The sequence below is a fragment of the Homo sapiens genome, chromosome 5, assembly GCF_000001405.40.
Source record: "Homo sapiens chromosome 5, GRCh38.p14 Primary Assembly".
Classification (NCBI taxonomy): Eukaryota; Metazoa; Chordata; class Mammalia; order Primates; family Hominidae; genus Homo; species Homo sapiens.
This window is the reverse complement of record NC_000005.10, coordinates 57,342,936-57,368,124: the sequence shown is the minus strand read 5'-3', so window position 1 is coordinate 57,368,124 and position 25,189 is coordinate 57,342,936. Positions and strand designations below refer to the sequence as shown.

The window sequence follows — 25,189 nt, the reverse complement described above, 5'->3', positions numbered from 1 at the left end:
TTCAAGCTTGTGAAGGAGAGCTGGCAATGGCTGACTCACAGTATCTGCTCTCCCTTAATCCAAGAAGAAGCTAATATGTGGTTCTACTTTACTGACCATAGAAGATTAGACACATCTAACCTGATTCTCCCTGATTTCTCCACATCCATGAAAACTGTTGACCATTCTCTCCTTTTTAATATCCTTTCTTCTTTTGATTTTCACAAACTGTACTGTCCCAGTTTGCTTCAGGCTACTTCTTGCAGGCAAGAACAATTTCACTGTTCAGAAGGAGGAAACAGTGAGGGAACTACATCTCTAGTTGGAATTCTGATCAGTAAGAAATTGGGTGGCAAAATTGAACCTCTGACTGGTCATCATAACAACCTAGGAAGGGATTGCCAGGCAGGGTCAGATGTTTACCTCTGACTGAAGCAAATTAAATGTCACAGAATTCAGACAAAAGGGAACTTGTTCCCTTGGTCACAGACTCTAAAAACCGGTGAGGTTGACACTCCACGGATCCCTGCAGGGGATCTTCCACCCAGCTGGTCCACCACAGTTTGGTGTCTCTAGTACCCCCAATTACTCCATGCATTCCCCAATCTCCTTCCTGTCTTTCAGACTGAAAATCACATTCCCACACCTCCTGCATGCACGAATCCTATCTTTCTTCAAAGTCCAACTCAAGGTCTTTTTCTGTGAAGTTTCCACTGCCCACCACAGCCTGGGTGGTGGCTCCACCTCTGAACTTCCTATCTTTATTTTTGTATTTGGCACCTAACATAGGGTAGATTCACGTACTTCTCGGTTTTTGCACATGAGACAAAACTCCCAAACTGATCAGAAGCTCCTATAGCAGAAACTCTGCCTCCTCACTGTGTAGAATCCTCATACCCAAAAATAAGGGTCAATTGATGTCATAGTGATAACAATGGTGCTCACTGTCATTTCTCGACATCCCATTCTATGCCAGGTTAATTTGGAGTGAGATATGGAACCTGGGGTCTGTGTCTGTTCATTCCCCAGCCTCCCTTTCAGCCACAGGGTCAAACTTGGAGGAATTTGGTTTCTTAATCTTTAAGTGAGCCACAGATACAACATAGGTGTGGCTCACAGCTCAATGAGTAAGTCTTCATGAATGCTTTGAGTGCTTCTGATGAAAGATGCCACTTATTAATGCTGTTCCTCAGCGGATGTTGTCTTGCTCCTGGAATGTTTTGTGGAAAAACAAACAGACCAGCTAGGTTCTCCACCTATCTCACTGACCCTGCTAGAGTTCCCCTTGGACTTCATGCTGTTGACCTGCTATGTAAATAGGACCTAAACTCATTTCTACAGGTGGCTGGTTCCCCTTCCTCCTCTTCCTGCTCAAGACAGTTATCAGGCTCAAACAGAGAAAATCAATCCAAAAGGGAGAGTGGACCCATATTCCAGGGCCATTCGGTTAAACCCCCCCAAAAAAATCACACAAAGGCAGTTTCTAATTGTAAGGAACATTTTAACTGTGACTTATGGCCTAGAGTATCTTACCCCGCTAATAACACCAGATGCAGATGCTCCAGGACCCTCCAAGGGCCATCATGCCTGGGGGCCCAGGAACATTAGAACAGACTGGAACTTTTTAATCAAATTAAGAAAAATAATGTAAAACCTGAAACTATAATTTGCCACTCTGAAAATTTTCTTGGATAAATTTGTGAACCACCTTGAGCTTCAGGTCTTTGTTCTTTAAAAAGGAAGAGTCTAAGCACTTGTGAAAAGGGTGGCCAAAAATGGGTTTTAAAATGCCTTCTTTTGGTAAGCATTTTCCTCCTATCTACAGCTATCCTGTTGGATTGGGGATCATAGAAGCAATTCATCAGAGATGAGAATGATTCCCCCAGATTTGTTTAACAGATTCTCAATTAAACTAATAATACAAGTTTTAAAACTTTCAGACTTTTAGAAAATGCAGATAGATGTTTTCACTTGAAGAGTATTTTGAGCCCTAATTTGTTGTTTTCATTGTTGTGCATTAGCCACTCTTTGAGGGTGATATATATTGTCCCAGTGTTGTATTCTGTGTCTTATTTTGACTCCCCATTCATGATGATGCAAGGCTACTGTGTGGCCTGATGCTCTCTGGTTCCAGTGTTTAGGAGAGTTAACAGCTCATAAGCCAGGATTGGTGGCATGCACCAGTAATCCCAGCTACTCTGGAGGCTGAGGTGGGAAGATAACTTGAGCCCAGGAGTTTGAGGCTAGCCTGGACAGCATAGTGAGACCCTATATCTAAAAATAAATAAATAACCACATAGACCCTAAATAAATGTTAACAAACTGCCACTCATAAATTATTTGAAAATGAGAGCATCTTTTGAGTTCATATTTAGTAAATATAATATTCATATCTTACAGAATATTAGTTTTTATCATTCATGCAGCAAAAACTATTGAGTAGCTTGATATCCTGGATATGGGATTGGGTACTATTGCTCCCTTCAAGGAACTCACAGTCTGGTGAGAAAGACAACCAGTAAGCAAGCTTTGCACTACAAATGACATAAACAATGAATGTAAAAAAATAAAAATTAAAAAACAACCCACTAAGTGCTTAAAAGACACATCACATAAAAGATTTGAGAAGACGATCTGTCCCAATGGGGGACAGAGAAAAGTCAGGGAAGACTTCCATAGTTCAATGACTCCTGAATTGAGACTTTAAAATAAGTCATAGAAATAATAATAATAGTAATAATAGCCCAACTATGGACAAAGCATTTTCACATGTATCATCTCATTTGTCACGGTAACAATTCAGATAAGATCTCCATGTTACAGATGACAAAACTAAGTCTTTGAAAAGGCAAGACACTTGACAAGGATCACATGGTGAGTATGTGGTTCCTGTAAATGAAATCAATGAACTAGCCAGAGAAACATGAACTGGGGCACATCCAGATTTTCCTTAACTCATCCACCAAGTCCAGTTGAATCGAGCTCTTATTACTAGACGCATTTAAAAAAGAAAGAAGTCAAAGGAGAAAAAGGGAAGGAAATGTATTTAATGTTTCATCCCACCACTTGTGCCCACCTCACCTCGCCCCAAACATCCTACCAAGACCCCAGGACAAAATATTTTCATTCTGAACAATCTTTCCACAACAGATTCTGTGAGGTAGGTGAGATTTAATTTATTCAAAATAAACCACTCAAATCCAAACCATACTCAATATCTTAACCTAAACTTTTTCAGAATGATTTTCACCCTACTTTTTCCAGAGGCAAAATTATATATATATATATATATATATATATATATATATATATATATATATATATATATATATATATGTAGAATTCCCCTGCAGTGGTGAAAGTAGGATTTGAATCTAGGTCTGCTTGAATTCAGAGTCTTATAATAATCAGTTACAAACTTCCACCCACCCTCTGGCCTGCTGCCCAGCTCCTGTGCATTTCACACCCACTGACAATGCCTGAGGCATGTCTCTGTCCATCTGAAAATGCTTGCAGCCAGCCTCCTGGCCATGTGCACAAGGGGCTGAATTGGTAAACAGGTCCCACCCACCAGATCTGATAATACCTGAAATTCCACCAAAGCCTGGAGAACTCAAAATGGAGTTTTGGGGACTGAAAGAGCAACAACAAAACCTCACATTTCTCAGCAGTAGAAACTTAAATAAAACTACCATGAATCTGTAAAGAATAAACCTTAAGTGTGTATTTTTTTAATTTATTGAGTCAAACTACTTGTCCTTAAGCACCTAGTCCAATGCTAGCTGCAAGAGGGGTGCTCGGTAAATATTAACTGATACATTAAAATTTTATTATAGTTTGACCACTGTTTCTTGGAAACTGCCAAATGCATATCGTCAGCTTCTTGAGTGTGATTCAGAAGATCTATAGTCTTGAATATTACTTGAGATAGAGTATTTGCTAGGATACTACATGAGTTGACTTGATTTAATACAGATCAAGAGTAAAATCATTTTAAAACTAAAACAATCCATTATAAAAGCACTTGTTATGTATAGACACACACACACACATATCTTGCCAACCACCTTTTAGTTTGCATATATATCAGTCCAATACCTTTATTCTTTTCTCCTAGATTCTGTTTTCCAAAACTTCAGTCATCTGTGTATCTGCTTCTGGCCCTCTCCATGGAGTTCATAGCCCTTGATGTACACATCCCAGAATGATCAACAAACACCATCTGACAAACATTGTATCGAGAGGTGGGAAAGAAAATTATAGAAAATAGATATTGTTGTATAAAACTTTTTAAATGCAAAACTAAATAATATATTGTTTACAAATGATACATATGTGGGAAAATATAAAGAAAATCGATGTAATAATAAATACAGACTTGAGGATAGTGGTCTCCTGGGGAGGTGTGTGGAATGGAAAAGAAATGAGATTGGGGTGAAAAATTGACATGGAAGGAGCTAATTCTTATCAGTAATGTTCTAGTTTTTATGCTGAATATTGAATACATGAGTGCTATTTTGCTAGTCTTTATATTATCAATATTTTCTTGTATGTACAAAAAATTCATAATTTTTAAAACAAGCCACTAAGTTGTTCACTGCAAGAAAAATATCAATATTTACCCTTTACACGGAAGCTTACATGTCACCATCTTGAAATCACTTCTACCCAGGTGGTCATCAGGTAAAATCTCCCCAGAAGAAGCCACTGTGGCTTTGAGCAGACAAAACCCAGTAAAGTCTCCTGGTTGTCCATTACCACAAAATGGCTACTTTGACGACTGCTAAAACCAATACTGAGCATTACTGAAACATTGGCTGGTTATTCATTCTGAAACATTGGCTGGTTATTCATTCTATCTCCAAAGCATTAAAGAGGAAATATAAAATTTTAGAGGCTACTATCAACAGACAAGTCAAATGATACCCTTGATTTTTGTTTTGTTTTATTTTGTTTACTAGACTCACTTAGCCATCTGTGGAAAATTTTTCCGGGAACACAGCCATTATTTTATTTGGTTTTTTGTTCTTTGGCTTTAATAAATTAATGAGGTGCTAACCAAATTCACACATGATGGACCACAACAAATTCACAAGGTCTGAGAACCTGGATCACCCTGCAGACGATTATAACCATCCAGGTGCGTCTCTTCTCCCCCTCCTATAACGTTTTGATGTGCCAAACGACTAAAGTCTATCATGCATACAAATCTTAAAAGAAATGTCCTGTATGTCTTACAGACTAAGAGTGCCTTATTAGGAACATCAATAATTTTATCACCTGCACATAATAAGCATGTTAGTTTTGCAACAAGTTTCTAAGGGAGAATGATAGAAAGGGGGAAATATGAAATAAGTGAAAAATTGAGTTCTGAACAAGGATCTTACATAAGAGGAAAGGTGAATTTGTTTTATTTATTCCATCCAGATCCAGAAAGCAGTGAACTTTCCTAGCCAACCATAGAGGGGGAAAAAAGCAGACTCTTTTTTGGCTAAGGCAAAGCAACCTGGCTCTAGTGGAGAGAAGGGCCCTCAAATTAGACCAAGCAATTTCTAATTGGTTCTACTGAACTCTCCCACCCTCATAAAGATCGTTTCTCTCACTACCCCACAGCCATCCAAAGGGACATACTTTTTTTTTTTTTTTTTTTTTTTTGAGACAGGGTCTCACTCTGTCACCCAGGCTGGAGTGCACTGGAGCAATTTTGGCTCACTGTAGCCTCTGCCTCCTGGGCTCAGGCGATCCTCCCACCTCAGCCTCCTGAGTAGCTGAGACTACTGGTATGCACCACCATGCCTGGCTAATTTTGCTTCTTTTTCATAGAGATGAGATCTTACTATGTTGCCAGGCTGGTCTCAAACTCCTGGCTCAAGCTATCTGCCTGCCTCGGCCTCCCAAACTGCTGGGATTACAGGCCCTAATGCCCTAATGCCCCATTGACTTTTTCTGGACATTTGAAAATAACTTTCCCACCAAACATTCCTTCAATAACGCAGAGATCATTTGTTTTCTTATTGTTTGTTTATTTATTTTAATATATACCTACTAACATCAAGACATGATCTCTTTTGGGCTGCAAGATGTGAGTTTTATTGATCAACTTGCATAGCAGAATTAATTATCCATCATAATCATTGTTAACATCAATAACTCATTTTTGAACACTGTGTGATTTTCAAAATAATATTATGAGGATGAGAAAATCTCTGGATTCAAAATTAAGTTTTCATCCAAATCACAACTGCTCTTTTAAAAGGCATGATCACAAAGTGGACATCGGTCCAGTGAATCAGCCTCAAGGGATGTGTGAACACATGTTCATGGGGACCCCGTATATAGAATGAAGTAAACATAAAGATAATATGTAGGTGTTGTGGGTGACCTTGAAGGAGGAAAATCCATTTCCTGTTTGATCCAAAGTAACACAACCTGAGAGCAGATACTCAACCTCAAAATACAAGACTGAATCCTTGTCTTTGCCACATGAGGCAACGTACTTGCCCACTATGAGTCCCTTTCTCCATCTGAAAGCGAAGAGGTTTAAACCATAGGTTGTTGAGAATTAAATGAGATGGTTTATGTAGGGTTCTGGCAGAAAGTAGGTGTTCAAATGTGCTGATTAGCCTCTGTGGGGTTTCTTTTGCTTACTCACCCAGGCTTCCATCTGCAGACTCATTTTCAAATTATGCTCAAACTCTGTCTCTCTATTGAAGGACAGGACTCCTTCAATTGCAAACAACAAATACTCAACACAGAGTAACTTAAGCAAAAAAAAAGAACATACAGCTGTAAGAGACTGAATATACAAACAGATCATACATAAAAGATGAACTCTGATTTACAACCTCTGCAGCAACCATCCTAGAAAGCCAAACCACAACCTCTGCAGCAATCAGCCCAAAATATTCAACATTTGTTCAATAACTTCCAGCTTTCCTTCTTTGACCCTGCTTCCAACTTAGGATCAACCAGGAAAAAAAATATGTGTATGTATATGTTCCCCTAGCCAACCTCAAAGGAGGCCCCACTTCTAGTTAGCCTGCCTCCAGTTTCCCCATGCCAGCAACTTCCAATCAGGAAGTCATTTTTCCACTGTAAAGCTTTCCCACTCCTCTGCCTGCCTGTGAGTCTCTGCCAAACACAAATGATGGTAGTTGGCTCCTTTGTAAGCACTGAACAAATAGTCTTTGCTTGTTCTCATTTGAGTGGTCTTTATTCCCACAACTTGAAATCGATGGAAGGATAAAGCTAGGGCTCCCCTGGATCCAGCAGTTCAAGTGAGGCCTCCAAAACTCTCTCTCTCCATTGCTTGCCTCTGAGTATTGGCGCTATTCTCCCCTTCTAGAGTCTGCCTTCTTCCAAGTAGGTGTGCAAAGTACCAGACTTACATCTTACAACTTAAGAACCAGATCAGAAAAAGAACTCTCCTCTGCCAATTTCTCTCATTGGTAATATCCTCAACCACTGCTGTCACCACCAGCACCTGCCCCCTCCTCCAGCCTTAATTCTGCCATCAACATATTAGAGAGGTGCACAGAGCCCTTGCTCCTGGAGGGATAGTTCCTTCCCCAGCCTCAACACTACCCGCCTCACCCCTACAAACTGCCTCAGAGAAGGCTCTGGCCAACATCACCAATGACCTCCACTTTTCCAAATCCAGTGGTCTATTTACGCTCCTCACATTATCCAAACTGACTGTCTACCTTACCCTAGGAAAGCACCACAGCTAATCCCACAGCCAGTGTCCTTATTTCTTATTTCACTAAGAAACTAAAAGCAATTAATACAAAATTGCCTCATTTTCTTATCAGCAACTTTATCAACCTGGCTTCAACTGTACTGTATACTGTGACACATCCCAATGACAAAAAATAAGCCATACTTAATCCTACCTAAGCCCAAACTCTCCACTTGATACTGATTCCATCCTCTCTTTGCTATAACAGTTATTCCCTCTCTGCCCTACATCTTCAATTTTACCCCTTTCTATGGGATCATTCCCAGCAGCATATATGCATACTGTAATACTTCCTTATTAAAAAGCAAAACAAAACAAAACAAAACCTCTCCTTTGTGTTCATTCCACTTCCAATTACTGCTCCATTTCTCTGCTCCCCTTTGGAGCAAAACTCCTCAAAGGATTACTATACTTCCTGCCTCCTCTTTTTCAACCCACTCTCTCCCTCTCTCAATCCACTCTAAGGAGGCTTTTAATTTCCACCTCTCCACTAAAATTGGTCTTATTGAAGACAATGACTTCCACCTTGCCAAATCCAATCATTAATACAGTCCTCAATTCACTTGACCTCCAGCAACATTTTCACAGCTGATTCCTCCACCAGGCTGGAGTACAGAGGCATGGCACAATCTGCTAACTGTAACTTCCAACTTCTGGGGGGATCCTCCCATCTCAGCCTCCCAAGTAGCTAGGATTCCAGCCATGTGCCGCCATACTGAGCTAATTTTCTTTTTGCTTTTTTTTTTTTTTTTTTTTTTTTTTTAGAGATGGGGATCTTGCTGTATTACCCAGGCTGGTCTCAAAGTCCTGGCTTCAAGCTATCCTCTCCCCTTGACCTCCCTCTTTGCTTTCTTCACATACCTTCAATAAAATCCATATTCTCCAGGCTATTTTGTTTGTTTTTCACTAAGACAAGGTCTCACACTGTCACCCAAGCTTGTTTGTTTTTCACTGAGGCAGGGTCTTACACTGTCAGCCAAGCTGGAGTACAGTGGTGCTGTCCAGCTCACTGCAGCTTCAATCTCCCGGGCAGAAGCAAACCTCACACCTCATCCTCCAGAGTAGCTGAGTAGCCAGGACTACAAGCATGCACCACTGTGCCCTGCTAATTTTTTGTTTGTTTTTTGTAGAGACGAGTTCTCATTACGTTGTCCAGGCTGGTCTCTAACTCCTGGGCTCAAGCAAGCCTACCACCTTGACCTCCCAAAGTGTTGGGATTGCAGGCATGAGCCACCACACCCAACCTACTCTCCAGGTTTATTCCTAGCTCAGAACATTTTTCTCCTCTTCCTCATCTTTTAGTGCTGAATGATGCACCAGGACTTATTTTTTCCTTCATTTTAAATTTTATGTATTTATTAGAGACAGCATCTGGCTCTTCTTACCCAAGCTGGAGTGTAGTGGCGCAATCACAGTTCACAGCAGCCTTGAACTCCCCAGGACTTCTTGTTTGGCCCTCCCTCCAACTAACAGAGACTAACCCTATAGATGATCTTATCCAGTTCTAGGTCATGCCATTTACTCAGATGACGTCTAACCTCTCCCCTGAGCTCTGAACTTATATATCCAACTGCCTACTTAACATTTCCTTTTGGATGTGTAACAGACATCTTAAATCTAATAGGACCCAAACTGACCTTCTGATTCTATTCACTTACTCTTACAGCAGGCTTCCTCCATTCAGCAAATGACCCAGTTTGGGTCACATACCAAATCCTGTGATCCACAGGGGAGAGCTCCCCAAATGAAAGAGGATGTTGTTACCAGAAGGGAGATGGGAAAGTCTGCAGGGCAAACCAAAAGCAAGAGTTGTCAAGCCCATTACTAACCCAGCTTCAACTATCCTTGCCCACTCAGCAGGCCACTTTTGCCTCCTGGCTCACTGAGAAAATTAAGACTATTTTACCTACACCTGCATCAATTTTAATCTCCTTTCCTCCAACTCGAAGCCAGCTCTCCACCTGAGCACTTGCTCTTGTTCCTTCATTTTTCTTCATTGGTACTGCTCTGTTGGTAATCTCCTTTTCCTGCATTTTTGTCTTTTCTCCCAGCTGATGCTCTCCTGCTAGCCCACAAACATGTCAAATCTGCACCATCCTAAAAAGTTTCAAACTTCTAGCTCTTGTGTGTATTTACCCTCCTGTTCTCTGTCAGGCTTCTTCGAGATACAATCCTTACTCTCTGCACTTGCTTCTCATTGTACCCACAATGTCACATCAAACTGGCTTCTGTACCCACTGCCCATCTGCTTCCAGGGACTTGAATCACGCAAAGCACTTCTCCACTCTCAACCCACCTTCTCTAATACCCACACCATTTTGGCATTATCACTTTCTCTTCTCTCCACCAAGTGCGGACCTTTGATATCCAGCACATAAAGTCATTCAAAACGAACAGAATGATTGGATTCTCAAAATAATAGGCCAATCAGCCTTGGAATAGCTGAGGAGTATTGCTCCAGTGTCTTCATGGATTAGCTGAGAAAAATATCATATAAACTCTTAATTTGCATTAAATTTATAATAAATATGACCACTAGAAATAGTAAACTCAACATAACTGACAAACTAAAAATGTACATAGAGAATTTTTAACAGATTTATTTTTAAGCTTGATTGAATAATCACATTTTCTCAATAACTAAAAATTGACATGGGGAAATATTCATCAAAAGAATATGAAACTAGCCACAACTAAAACTTCATATGGTAAACAGTTGACAGACAAGTCCTTCTTGACTAAATTTGGATCTGTAACATTTTAATTGGGCAAATTGGGCTTGGTTGTCATAATAACCACAAAATGAAACAATATGACAAAAACTATAAACTGGTAAATTGTCCTTGTGAATTTCCCATGAAAAATAATGCTGGTAAAATCGGGGGGAGGAGCCAAGATGGCCGAATAGGAACAGCTCCGGTCTACAGCTCCCAGCGTGAGCGACACAGAAGACAGTGATTTCTGCATTTCCATCTGAGGTACCAGGTTCATCTCACTAGGGAGTGCCAGACAGTGGGCGCAGGTCAGTGGGTGCGCACACCGTGCATGAGCTGAAGCAGGGCGAGGCATTGCCTCACTTGGGAAGCGCAAGGGGTCAGGGAGTTCCCTTTCCGAGTCAAAGAAAGGGGTGACGGACGGCACCTGGAAAATCGGGTCACTCCCACCCGAATACTGCGCTTTTCCGAGGGGCTTAAAAAATGGCGCACCACGAGATTATATCCCGCACCTGTCTTGGAGGGTCCTACGCCCACGGAGTCTCGCTGATTGCTAGCACAGCAGTCTGAGATCAAACTGCAAGGTGGCAGCGAGGCTGGGGGAGGGGCGCCCGCCATTGCCCAGGCTTGATTAGGTAAACAAAGCAGCGGGGAAGCTCGAACTGGGCGGAGCCCACCACAGCCCAAGGAGGCCTGCCTGCCTCTGTAGGCTCCACCTCTGGGGGCAGGGCACAGACAAACAAAAAGACAGCAGTAACCTCTGCAGACTTAAATGTCCCTGTCTGACAGCTTTGAAGAGAGCAGTGGTTCTCCCAGCACGCAGCTGGAGATCTGAGAACAGGCAGACTGCCTCCTCAACTGGGTCCCTGACCCCTGACCCCTGAGCAGCCTAACTGGGAGGCACCCCCCAGCAGGGGCACACTGACACGTCACACAGCAGGGTATTCCAACAGACCTGCAGCTGAGGGTCCTGTCTGTTAGAAGGAAAACTAACAAACAGAAAGGACATCCACACCAAAAACCCATCTGTACATCACCATCATCAAAGACCAAAAGTAGATAAAACCACAAAGATGGGGAAAAAACAGAACAGAAAAACTGGAAACTCTAGAAAGCAGAGCGCCTCTCCTCCTCCAAAGGAACACAGTTCCTCACCAGCAACGGAACAAAGCTGGATGGAGAATGACTTTGACGAGCTGAGAGAAGAAGGCTTCAGACGATCAAATTACTCTGAGCTACGGGAGGACATTCAAACCAAAGGCAAAGAAGTTGAAAACTTTGAAAAAAATTTAGAAGAATGTATAACTAGAATAACCAATACAGAGAAGTGCTTAAAGGAGCTGATGGAGCTGAAAACCAAGGCTCGAGAACTACGTGAAGAATGCAGAAGCCTCAGGAGCCGATGTGATCAACTGGAAGAAAGGGTATCAGCAATGGAAGATGAAATGAATGAAATGAAGTGAGAAGGGAAGTTTAAAGAAAAAAGAATAAAAAGAAATGAGCAAAGCCTCCAAAAAATATGGGACTATGTGAAAAGACCAAATCTATGTCTGATTGGTGTACCTGAAAGTGATGCAGAGAATGGAACCAAGTTGGAAAACACTCTGCAGGATATTATCCAGGAGAACTTCCCCAATCTAGCAAGGCAGGCCAACGTTCAGATTCAGGAAATACAGAGAACACCACAAAGATACTCCTCAAGAAGAGCAACTCCAAGACACATAATTGTCAGATTCACCAAAGTTGAAATGAAGGAAAAAATGTTAAGGGCAGCCAGAGAGAAAGGTCGGGTTACCCTCAAAGGGAAGCCCATCAGACTAACAGCGGATCTCTCGGCAGAAACCCTACAAGCCGGAAGAGAGTGGGGGCCAATATTCAACATTCTTACAGACAAGAATTTTCAACCCAGAATTTCATATCCAGCCAAACTAAGCTTCATAAGCGAAGGAGAAATAAAATACTTTGCAGACAAGCAAATGCTGAGAGGTTTTGTCACCACCAGGCCTGCCCTAAAAGAGCTCCTGAAGGAAGCGCAAAACATGGAAAGGAACAACCGGTACCAGCCACTGCAAAATCATGCCAAAATGTAAAGACCATCAAGACTAGGAAGAAACTGCATCAACTAATGAGCAAAATAACCAGCTAACATCATCATGACAGGATCAAATTCACACATAACAATATTAACTTTAAATGTAAATGGACTAAATGCTCCAATTAAAAGACACAGACTGGCAAATTGGATAAAGAGTCAAGACCCATCAGTGTGCTATATTCAGGAAACCAATCTCACGTACAGAGACACACATAGGCTTAAAATAAAAGGATGGAGGAAGATCTACCAAGCAAATGGAAAACAAAAAAAAGGCAGGGGTTGCAATCCTAGTCTCTGATAAAACAGACTTTAAACCAACAAAGATGAACAGAGACAAAGAAGGCCATTACATAATGGTAAAGGGATCAGTTCAACAAGAAGAGCTAACTATCCCAAATATATATGCACCCAATACAGGAGCACCAATATTGATAAAGCAAGTCCTGAGTGACCTACAAGGACACTTAGACTCCCACACATTAATAATGGGAGACTTTAACACACCACTGTCAACATTAGACAGATCAACAAGACAGAAAGCCAACAAGGATACCCAGGAATTGAACTCAGCTCTGCACCAAGCAGACCTAATAGACATCTACAGAACTCTCCACCCCAAATCAACAGAATATACATTTTTTTCAGCACCACACCACACCTATTCCAAAATTGACCACATACTTGGAAGTAAAGCTCTCCTCAGCAAATGTAAAAGAACAGAAATTATAACAAACTATCTCTCAGACCACAGTGCAATCAAACTAGAACTCAGGATTAAGAATCTCACTCAAAACCGCTCAACTACATGGAAACTGAACAACCTGCTCCTGAATGACTACTGGGTACATAACGAAATGAAGGCAGAAATAAAGATGTTCTTTGAAACCAACGAGAACAAAGACACAACATACCAGAATCTCTGGGACGCATTCAAAGCAGTGTGTAGAGGGAAATTTATAGCACTAAATGCCCACAAGAGAAAGCAGGAAAGATCCAAAATTGACACCCTAACATCACAATTGAAAGAACTAGAAAAGCAAGAGCAAACACATTCAAAAGCTAGCAGAAGGCAAGAAATAACTAAAATCAGAGCAGAACTGAAGGAAATAGAGACACAAAAAACCCTTCAAAAAATTAATGAATCCAGGAGCTGGTTTTTTGAAAGGATCAACAAAATTGATAGACCGCTAGCAAGACTAATAAAGAAAAAAAGAGAGAAGAATCTAATAGATGCAATAAAAAATGATAAAGGGGATATCACCACCGATCCCACAGAAATACAAACTACCATCAGAGAATACTACAAACACCTCTACGCAAATAAACTAGAAAATCTAGAAGAAATGGATAAATTCCTCGACACATACACTCTCCCAAGACTGAACCAGGAAGAAGTTGAATCTCTGAATAGACCAATAACAGGATCTGAAATTGTGGCAATAATCAATAGCTTACCAACCAAAAAGAGTCCAGGACCAGATGGATTCACAGCCGAATTCTACCAGAGGTACAAGGAGGAACTGGTACCATTCCTTCTGAAACTATTCCAATCAATAGAAAAAGAGGGAATCCTCCCTAACTCATTTTATGAGGCCAGCATCATTCTGATACCAAAGCCAGGCAGAGACACAACAAAAAAAGAGAATTTTAGACCAATATCCTTGATGAACACTGATGCAAAAATCCTCAATAAAATACTGGCAAACTGAATCCAGCAGCACATCAAAAAGCTTATCCACCATGATCAAGTGGGCTTCATCCCTGGGATGCAAGGCTGGTTCAATATACACAAATCAATAAATGCAATCCAGCATATAAACAGAGCCAAAGACAAAAACCACATGATTATCTCAATAGATGCAGAAAAGGCCTTTGACAAATTTCAACAACCTTCATGCTAAAAACTCTCAATAAATTAGGTATTGATGGGATGTATTTCAAAATAATAAGAGCTATCTATGACAAACACACAGCCAATATCATACTGAATGGAAAAAACTGGAAGCATTCCCTTTGAAAACTGGCACAAGACAGGGATGCCCTCTCTCACCACTCCTATTCAACATAGTGTTGGAAGTTCTGGCCAGGGCAATTAGGCAGGAGAAGGAAATAAAGGGTATTCAATTAGGAAAAGAGGAAGTCAAATTGTCCCTGTTTGCAGACGACATGATTGTATATCTGGAAAACCCCGTTGTCTCAGCCCAAAATCTCCTTAAGCTGATAAGCAACTTCAGCAAAGTCTCAGGATACAAAATCAATGTACAAAAATCACAAGCATTCTTACACACCAGCAGCAGACAAACAGAGAGCCAAATCATGAGTGAACTCCCATTCACAATTGCTTCAAAGAGAATAAAATACCTAGGAATCCAACTTACAAGGGTTGTGAAGGACCTCTTCAAGGAGAACTACAAACCACTGCTCAAGGAAATAAAAGAGGATACAAACAAATGGAAGAACATTCCATGCTCATGGGTAGGAAGAATCAATATTGTGAAAATGGCCATACTGCCCAAGGTAATTTACAGATTCATGCCATCCCCATCAAGCTACCAATGTCTTTCTTCACAGAATTGGAAAAAACTACTTTAAAGTTCATATGGAACCAAAAAAGAGCCCGCATCACCAAGTCAATCCTAAGCCAAAAGAACAAAGCTGGAGGCATCACGCTACCTGACTTCAAACTATACTACAAGGCCACAGTAACCAAAACAGCATGGTACTGGTACCAAAACAGAGATATAGATCAATGGAACAGAACAGAGCCCTCAGAAATAACGCCGCATATCTACAACTATCTGATCTTTGACAAACCTGAGAAAAACAAGCAATGGGGAAAGCATTCCCTATTTAATAAATGGTGCTGGGAAAACTGGCTAGCCATATGTAGAAAGCTGAAACTGGATCCCTTCCTTACACCTTATACAAAAATCAATTCAAGATGGATTAAAGACTTAAATGTTAGACCTAAAACCATAAAAACCCTAGAAGAAAACCTAGGCATTACCATTCAGGACATAGGCATGGGCAAGGACTTCATGTCTAAAACACCAAAAGCAATGGCAACCAAAGCCAAAATTGACAAATGGGATCTAATTAAACTAAAGAGCTTCTGCACAGCAAAAGAAACTACCATCAGAGTGAACAGGCAATCTACAAAATGGGAGAAAATTTTCGCAACCTATTCATCTGACAAAGGGCTAATATCCAGAATCTACAATGAACTCAAACAAATTTACAAGAAAAAAACAAACAACCCCATCAAAAAGTGGGCGAGGGACATGAACAGACACTTCTCAAAAGAAGACATTTATGCAGCCAAAAGACACATGAAAAAATGCTCATCATCACTGGCCATCAGAGAAATGCAAATCAAAACCACAATGAGATACCATCTCACACCAGTTAGAATGGCAATCATTAACAAGTCAGGAAACAACAGGTGCTGGAGAGGATGTGGAGAAATAGGAACACTTTTACACTGTTGGTGGGACTGTAAACTAGTTCAACCATTGTGGAAGTCAGTGTGGTGATTCCTCAGGGATCTAGAACTGGAAACACCATTTGACCCAGCCATCCCATTACTGGGTATATACCCAAAGGACTATAAATCATGCTGCTGTAAAGACACATGCACACATATGTTTATTGCGGCATTATTCACAATAGCAAAGACTTGGAACCAACCCAAATGTCCAACAATGATAGACTGGATTAAGAAAATGTGGCACATATACACCATGGAATACCATGCAGCCATAAAAAATGATGAGTTCATGTCCTTTTTAGGGACATGGATGAAATTGGAAATCATCATTCTCAGTAAACTATCACAAGAACAAAAAACCAAACACCGCATATTCTCACTCATAGGTGGTAATTGAACAATGAGATCACATGGACACAGGAAGGGGAATATCACACTCTGGGGACTGTTGTGGGGTGGGGGGAGGGGGGAGGGATAGCACTGGGAGATATACCTAATGCTAGATGACGAGTTAGTGGGTGCAGTGCACCAGCATGGCACATGTATACATATGTAACTAACCTGCACACTGTGCACATGTACCCTAAAACTTAAAATATGATTAAAAAAAATAAAATAAAATAAAAATAATAGTAAAATAAAGAAAGAAAGAAAGAAAATAAGTCTAATGCCATTAGTCATTAGGGAAATGCAAATTTAAATCATAATGGGATATCACTACATATACATCTATCAGAATAAAAATTAGTGACAACACCAAATGCTGGGGATGATACAGAGAAACTGAGTCACTCCTACATTGCTGGGAATATGGAATGGTACAGCCACCCTGAAAACAGTTTGGCAGTTTCTTATATAACCAAACCTGCAAAATACCATATGACCCATAATTTGTATCCTTGGGCATTTATCCCAGAGAAATAAAAACTTATATTCACACAACACCTACACACGAATATTTATAGCAGCCTTATTAGTAATAGCTGAAATCTGGAAACAGCCCAAGTGTCCTTCAATGAGTGAATAAACTGCAGTATGTGTGGTATAGTGCAAAATACTACTCAGTATTTTTTTTAAATGAATGATTGATACAAGCAACAACTTGGATGAATCTCCAGAGATTATGCTAAATTAAAAAGCCAATCCCAAAAGATTACCTACTGTATGATTCCATTTAATAACATTCCCCAACTGACAAAATTATATAAGTGGAAACCAGATTAGTCGTTGCCAGGCACTATGGAAGGTGGAGGGAGGCAGTGAGAGGTGAGCATGACAGGAGAACACAGGGGTGCTCGTAGGGATGGACTATTCCATATCTCAACTGTGGTGGTGGATACACAGACCTACACATATGATAAAATTGCATAAAACCGTCAGAAGTATTTAAACCAGAGCAACTCCATCTTGAATAGGAACTGGACAAAATGAGGCTGAGACCTACTAAGCTGCATTCCCAGGAGGTTAAGGTGTTCTTAGTCACAAGGTGAGATAGGAGGTCAGCACAAGATAAGGTCATAAAAACCTTGCTGATAAAACAGGTTGCAGTCAAGAAGCCGGCTAAAACCCACCAAAGGCAAGATGGCAATGACAGTGACCTCTGGTCATCCTCATTGCTACACTCACATCTGTGCCAGGACAGTTTACAAATGCCATGGCAACATCAGAAAGTTACCCTCCATGGTCTAAAAAGGGGAGGCATGAAAAATCCACCCCTTATTTAGCATATAATCAAGATAATACCATAAAAATGTGCAACCAGCAGCCCACGGGGCTGCTCTGCATATGGAGTAGCCATTCTTTTATTCCCTTACTTTTTTAATAAACTTGCTTTCACTTTAAAAAAAAAAAAGAAAAATAATGCTGGTAAAATCATAATGAAAATTGAAAATAATGGATAATTTTAACTGTCCAGAAGATAAAATTGATTAAGGCATTGAGGTAGCTTTACAGAATTAGCTCCACAAAGTATGTGGTCACGAAATGTTATCAAAATCGCTGTAATGCTGTTTAAAAGTTTACATTCACAAATACAGAAAAGGAACATCTATGGAGTCAAATTAGCGGGATAAAAACATATATTTGATTGAAACTGTGTAATTCACATAGCCTTCCCTTCCAGGTAGTTTCTTGATCTCTCAGAATGGCCTACTGCTTCGCTAACCTTTTTTTTATTTTTAAAGCAATTACCTCCTTGTACTGAAATTGCCACCAGAATGTAAGCCCCTCAAGAGCAAAGTGGTTTTGTTCATCTTTGCATCCACAATGCCTAATGCAGTGCTTAGCCCTTAGTAAACGCTCAGTGATTGCCCGACAAAAACGAACTCAGTGAGCCAACACCCGATTAAGACTTCTCAAATTGGAATGTGCATCAGAATCACCTAGGGAACTTCTTTCACATACAGATTCAAAGACCCCACTCTCAGAGATTTCTGAATCACTGGCTGGAGCCCAAAGTGATTTTAAGGCAGGTGTTCTAAAAACCATATTTTGAGAAACACAGGACTAGGACAAAAAGAGTGGTAACTCTGGAGTATCTACCATACATATCAGTTAAGACGAATGCTTTCCACTGTAAGTAACAGAAAGCCTGACCTACTGAAGCAAGGAGTCTGTAATATTTAGGTTTTGGCACTGGTTCAGCAGTTCATGGATATTAAGATTGGCATCTCTGAGATTATCTTGGCTTCTTGTTTGCTTGTCACCTCATGGTTGATAAATGCCTGCCACAGTTCCAGACATAACATATGTTCAAGGCAAGAAGAGGAGCAAGCAGTGCAGCTTGCAACTGTCCCTTTCATGGGGAGAGTTTCACTTATGTTTCATTGGCTAACTGTAAATAGCCATCACCAGCTGCAAGGGCAAACAAATGGGTAAATGTTAGCTTGTCTTGCCTCTGTGGTGAAAAGCTTGTGGAAAAAAAGGGATAGAGAATGACTGCCAGTTTAGCCAAAGAACCTCTGCCGTATTGTAGTCCCCAGCAATTCTTCATCCACCGAGTTCACCAAAGAATAATCCTCCTAACTGGATAGAAAGAGTCTATTACTATTCCTAACTTACAGAAGAAGAAACAGGTACAGATAAGGTAAGTAGCTTTCCCAAAGTCACTCAGCTGATAAGTGACAGAGTCAAATCCGGGCAGTTTAGTTTCAGAATCCATGCTCTTAACCCCTGAATTCCATGAATTTAGAACTAAACTCACGGTGATTGAGTCTCTAAGTAGCTGTGTCCAGCGCAGCTGTTGTCAACTTTCATTGCACTGTAACATCTCCTAGTAAAACAGACCTTCAAATACCTTCAAATACCAAAAATATAAAGGTACATTTATCTTTATACCTCTCTTTGAAATGCAGCCCCAGGATAGGGCAACATTTTTAATATGCATTAAAATTCAAAACTTGTCCTACTGCCTGGTTTATTTTGGGTCTGGTTATCTTTCATCCTACACCTTGGCACGTGAACCCTGTCCAAACTGCAAGCATGCCAAGGAAGTGTTGCAAATGAGATCCCAAGACGACTGTAGGCTTGTCCTTATTATAGCCTGTCTTCCAAACTGGAGGACATATTCAAATTCTCAGTAACACTTAGTCCCTGAGGTCCCTCTAACAATGAAAGCTATTTATTCCAACTAGGCTGTATTCAGGAAGTTCAAACGTCCAAAAAAGATAACTTTTCCCTGGAGCTATGCACATGGCAATGAAAATTAAACAAGGCAAAATTATAAAAATAAGATTTACCTCCTTTAGAGAGCTTGAAAAGTTTTCCCTTCCCTAATTGTAGCTAAATGACATTATCTCCAAATTATTTCTGTGTTATGGAAATTGTAACATTAAGAATCAGGAATGTGGCTGGGCGTGGTGGCTCACACCTGTAATCCCAGCACTTTGGGATACCAAGGTAGGCAGATCACCTGAGGTCAGGAGTTTGAGACCAGCCTGACCAATATGGTGATACACCATCTCTACTAAAAATACAAAAATTAGTCTGACGGGGTGGTGCTTGCCTGTAGTCCCAGCTACTCAGGAGGCTGAGGCAGGAGGACCGCTTGAACCCAGGAGGTGGAGGTTGCAGTGAACCAAGATCACACCACTGCACTCTAGCCAAGTGAGATTCCATCTCAAAAAAATAAAAAAAGAATCAGGAATGCATGCCATTGTTTTTTATCGTAGAAAAGGAAGAGTTGCTACACATTTTTTTTAACTAAAAATAACTTTCTGTACAGATTATTTCATCACAAACCCTTGAGTCACGAGTTTACCCATACAATAAACCTGCCCATGTACCTCTGAAACTAAAATAAAAGTATTTTTTAAATAAATAATGTGTCCCCCAAAAGTTCATGTGTTGGAAGCTTGATCCCCAATGCAGCAGTGTTGAGAGGTGGAACACTCGGGAGGTGATTGGATTATGTGGACTCTGTCTTCACCAGTTGATTGATCCATTCATGAATTAATGGATTAGTGGGTTGATATGTGAATGGGTTATCACAGGAGTGGACTGGTTATCAAGAGGGTGAGTCCACTGTAAAGCCAGTGTGGCTGCCTATCATAAGTCCCCTCACCATGTGATGCACTGTACCATCTCAGGACTCTTCAGAAGGTCCCCACCAGCAGGAGACCCTCCAGATGCAGCCCCTTGACCCTGGAATTTCCAGCCTCCAAAACTGTAAAAAATAAATTTCTTTTCTTTATTAAAAAAATGAAAACAACTTTATTATTTTCTTATAACAAAAGTAATGTATATGTATTGTAGAAAATTTAACACAAAAGAGTAAAAAAGAATAAATATTTTTAAATCCACAATCGCCACTGTGAATACCTGCTCATTTGCCCTCTACTTGTTCTGAGAAAAGGGCAGAGCAAATACAGTTGGCACTCATTCTGAACAACAAGAAAAGGCTAGGACTGAGGTAGAGACCATTTGATGTGGGCCAGTGGGTCATAGCATCCAGATCATCATCATGACTGAGCCAAATAAGGTGAACATATGGTTGTTTTCTGGCATATTCTAATCATTAGGAGTAGAATGGACATTACCTTATCATCCACCATGCTGCCTATGGTCCTTATGTCAGGTGAACTTGCCAAAATGTCACTTCAGGCACACAGTATCAATACTCATCAGCTATTGTCAGGGTGGAAGCCTGATGAGCCAAGTATACTGGAACCAGCAAGAGAAACCCCCTTCCTCCAGCAACGCCCCTCCAGGGCTCTCTGTTAACAAAGCTCAGCATCGTCATGTTTGCTGCAGAGGAGAAATGCTAAAAAGGGTCCAGGTTCATTATGTCAGAGCAGGTAATGAAGGGCTCATATGGAACTGAGAAGCAATAAGTTGATAACTTACACAAACACCCTTCAGATGTTTGTAGAATTTGAGTCTCTTTTTCATGTTTCTGTTGTTATTGTTGTTTTAATGAAAACCTTTCTATGTCTACAAAGATTTTCATTGTCAAACACTTCTCCCAGGCTCGTTTCACAATCCTCAAAGCCGTAGGGTCATCTCTAGCCCTTGAAATGTGAGTGTATTTTATCTTGAAGTATGTGGATTCCAACTACCTCCTCCCACTTCCACCACTCCCACCCTGGTCCAAGCCCTGGTTGTCTCTCACCTAAATTGTTGCAATAGCCATCTGACTCATCTCCCTGCTTCTACTCTTGCCATTTTGTCCCCTAGAAACTAAATCAGTTTATTATGTTCATCATCCACTCAAAGCCCTCCAGTGGCTCCCAATTTCACTCAGAGTAAAACCCAAAGTCTTACAATGGCCTACTGAGGCCAGTAATGATCTTCCCTCACCCCACTAGAATATAATCTCCGAGAAAGCAGAGATTTTTGTCAGTTTTATCTATTTCCATGTTTCTAGTTCCTAAAACAATGCCTGGCTCATAGTAGATATATTTGTTTAATAGGCAAATGTCCCATGCCTAGAACTGCCTCACCTCTGAACTTCTCATTTGTGAAGTCATACCTGTCTTTATCAAAGCACTCGACTTGAATAAAGATACTGTGTTACTTGTAGCCCATTGTATTCTAATTGGTAAAATGAACATCAAATATACTATTCTATGTAATCCCAGGAAATCACCCAAGTAGAATTTACTAGATGCCATTGTTCTCTATAAAAATAGGTAGAAAAAGAAAGAAAAGAAAAAAAAACATTAGTTTGACCCAAAAAGCTTTCTAGTATTTGGCCATTAGATACTTAATTTTCCAATAGGAGGTGTTTTCTATAGCCTGGAGCCATTACTGAAGAGTTCAGTGTCACAAAGCAAGGTAAGCAAAGAACTAATGGAACAGAGTTTTAAGTATTCAGACAACAAATCTTTTTCTTTCCTTTGCTTCTCATTCAAATACTCACTTCTACTTCACCTAAAACATTTCTCTTAAAGTTATATGATACTTTCATTATAAATAAATGACAATAGATATTTATTCTATTGTCTTTGGTTGATCTCCATATGTAAATATTGTTCACAGTTCTGCTCGTATACCCATCCTACTAGCCACTGTGGAACATGCACTACACCCAGCCCCACAATTCATCACATTTAAGCAATATTAATCACAATGAATGCCTGAGAGTCATAATTTTACCTTTTGCAATTACTAATGTGAGCCAATTGTCAAAAGTCTAGGAATATAACTGTAATGGAGGCTATTATTACTTTCTAGAGAAGCAGTAGGAAAATAATGTTGGCCTACTCAAAATCATTTGTTCATCTAAGTAGTATTTATTGAACACATAATATATGCTGTAATGAATAAAACAGAAATATCTCCTGCCCTCATGAAGAATCTAGAGAAGAGTCAGCATAATTTTTCTATAAAGAGCCAGATAGTAAATATCTAAGCTTTGCAGTCCATGAGGTCACATACTCTGCCACTGTAACATGAAAGCATCCATAGACAATACATAGATGAACAAGCATGGATATATTTGCAGATCATACAAAGTAGATGGGATGCCCAGTATGGCATATGGCCATAGTTTGCCAATCTCTGTTCTACCAGAACAGAGATATTAATTAAATAATTAAATATTAAATTAAATATTAATTAAATAATCCATGAAACAGGTATATAATTGCATACTGTGATGAGTGCTACAAAAAATTACAGGGTTGAAAAAGCTGGTATAGACATCCCCACAAAGCTAAGATGCAATTGAGGAGTAGTTGTTAGGCAGGTTTCCTGGCAGAGTGAGCAGCATGTGCAAAGGCCCTGAAGCAGGGGAGGCCTAACCTATTCAAGAAAGGTCAAGCTGGCTTTTGCCCAATGCTCAAGCAGGAGAAGAGGAAAGGAGCTAAAGCTAGAAGTATTATACGGGCCAGTGTGTACAGGGCCTCATGGGTTGTGCTACAGATTTGCTCCATATCCTGAGACCAGTGGAAAAGCACGGAAAGGGAGTAAGACCTTTCATGGAACAAATGCTCACTGCATGCCTACCAGCACCAGACACTCATCTACAGCGAATAAAACAAAGTTCCTGCCCTCATGGAGCTTATATTCCAGTGGGAAAGCCAGACCATAAACAAAAAATATGCAACATAATGTCAACTAATATATTTGTCAAGTCTGTCAAGCAAAATAAATATCAAAAAGAATATGCTAGAATAAATGACTAGAGAGGGATGGATAGTGCTATAATTAGATTTGTGTTTTAATTGTTCTGTATAGCACAGGGTATACTAGTGAGATCAGAAAACTAGTTAAGAGATTGTTGCGGTGGCCCAGTTTAAAAAAATACATATGTATATATGTGCGTGTGTGTTTTAAAAGATATATATATATAACCACTTGAATCAGAGCATTGGCAGTGGACATGAGAGAAATAGATGGGTTGGAGATAAATTTATAAAGTATAGCTGACTGGCCTCGGTGATAGATTCCAAAGTGGTGTCGAGGATGGCTTTCAGATTTTTTTGTTTTATGCAACCATAGAAACCATGGTACTCTTCTCCAAGAAAGGAAAGCTGGCAGGGGACAGCTTGGGAGAGGAAGATGCTAAGCTTACTGTTGGACATTTGAGTTTGAGCATCCTTTAGGAGCTCCAGACAAAAGATGTTGAGTCATCAGTGGACTTGTGTGTCCATGAGCAGTGTTCTAACCAAGTCAGGCAATGTCCATGTGGGAAGAACTGTTCGCCCTTGGACTGGACTGAGAGGTCCCCACCTGAACTGAGGCTCAAGCTCAAAGATAGAGTCCTGTATCTAGGGATGTTGGCTAGAATCATGACAAATGCTGTGGTTTTATATTTAATATTAATATCAAAGCAGCTAAAATGTACTGAGTGTTCATTATATGTTAGACACATGAATTATCTTATTAAATCTTAACACAATCCTATAAGGTATAAACTATTTTCTCTTTTTAGAAATAAGGAATCTGAGCCTGAGAATTTAACTAGCAAAGGTCACTTGGCAAGCAAGAGAGGCAAGATCTACCCCAAGTCTGTCAGACCACCAAATCTGAGCTATTACATGCTGCCAGCAACCCAGCTAGTGATGCACTCACAAGAAAGTTCTGGTAGCCTGGGCTAGGGGCAAAGCTGCGCCATGCAGATGAGGAAGCAGACAGTGAGGGGAGACAGAGCTGGGAGCCATCAACAACAATGACAGCTTCAGAGGGGACACTTTGGACATTTGGGAAGATGAGGCCTCTTCATTGCTGCTAGTGTTATTTTGACACGGATTCCTCCATTTTAGCACACTTGGGATGATGGAGTCTGGAGAAACACCTGGAAGTATGTAAGCAGCCGCTAAGGATTAAGTTAAAACGAGGACCCCTAAACTAGTGGTTATTAAACTTTAGCATGCTTAAGACTCCACAGGGAGGTTGTTAACATTTTAGATTCCACAATCCTACCTCTAGAGAGTCTGACTCAGTGGCTCCAGTATCTGCATTTTTTACAAGCACCAGGTGATCTGGACTGGACAATACTCAGTACTTTGAGAGCTTTCTCTTCTTGGCCTTTCATCAAAAGCAGTTCCAGTCTCCCTGTTAATTCTGATGAGGTTTTCAACTTATCCCTATGTATTGATGGAGAAGAGGGAAATTTGCAACAATGTGAAGCAACATTCACAGTAGTAGGGAGCTGGGTCTCAGAATCTCTTGCATAGCCTAAGTGGTCCAAGCTTACGATAAAGTATCACAAGGACTTTCTTCCTCACAGAGAA

The 25,189-nt window shown here is 40.4% G+C and overlaps 1 annotated feature.

Annotated features, from left to right (window-relative positions):
• Positions 248 to 1,447: an enhancer, noted in NCBI's record as "P300/CBP strongly-dependent group 1 enhancer chr5:56662505-56663704 (GRCh37/hg19 assembly coordinates)". NCBI's record gives its function as "activates an origin of replication core promoter dependent on BRD2, BRD4, P300/CBP, MED14 and CDK7 cofactors, with strong dependence on P300/CBP, by STARR-seq in HCT116 cells {active_cell/tissue: HCT116}" and the evidence as "EXISTENCE:reporter gene assay evidence [ECO:0000049][PMID:35650434]".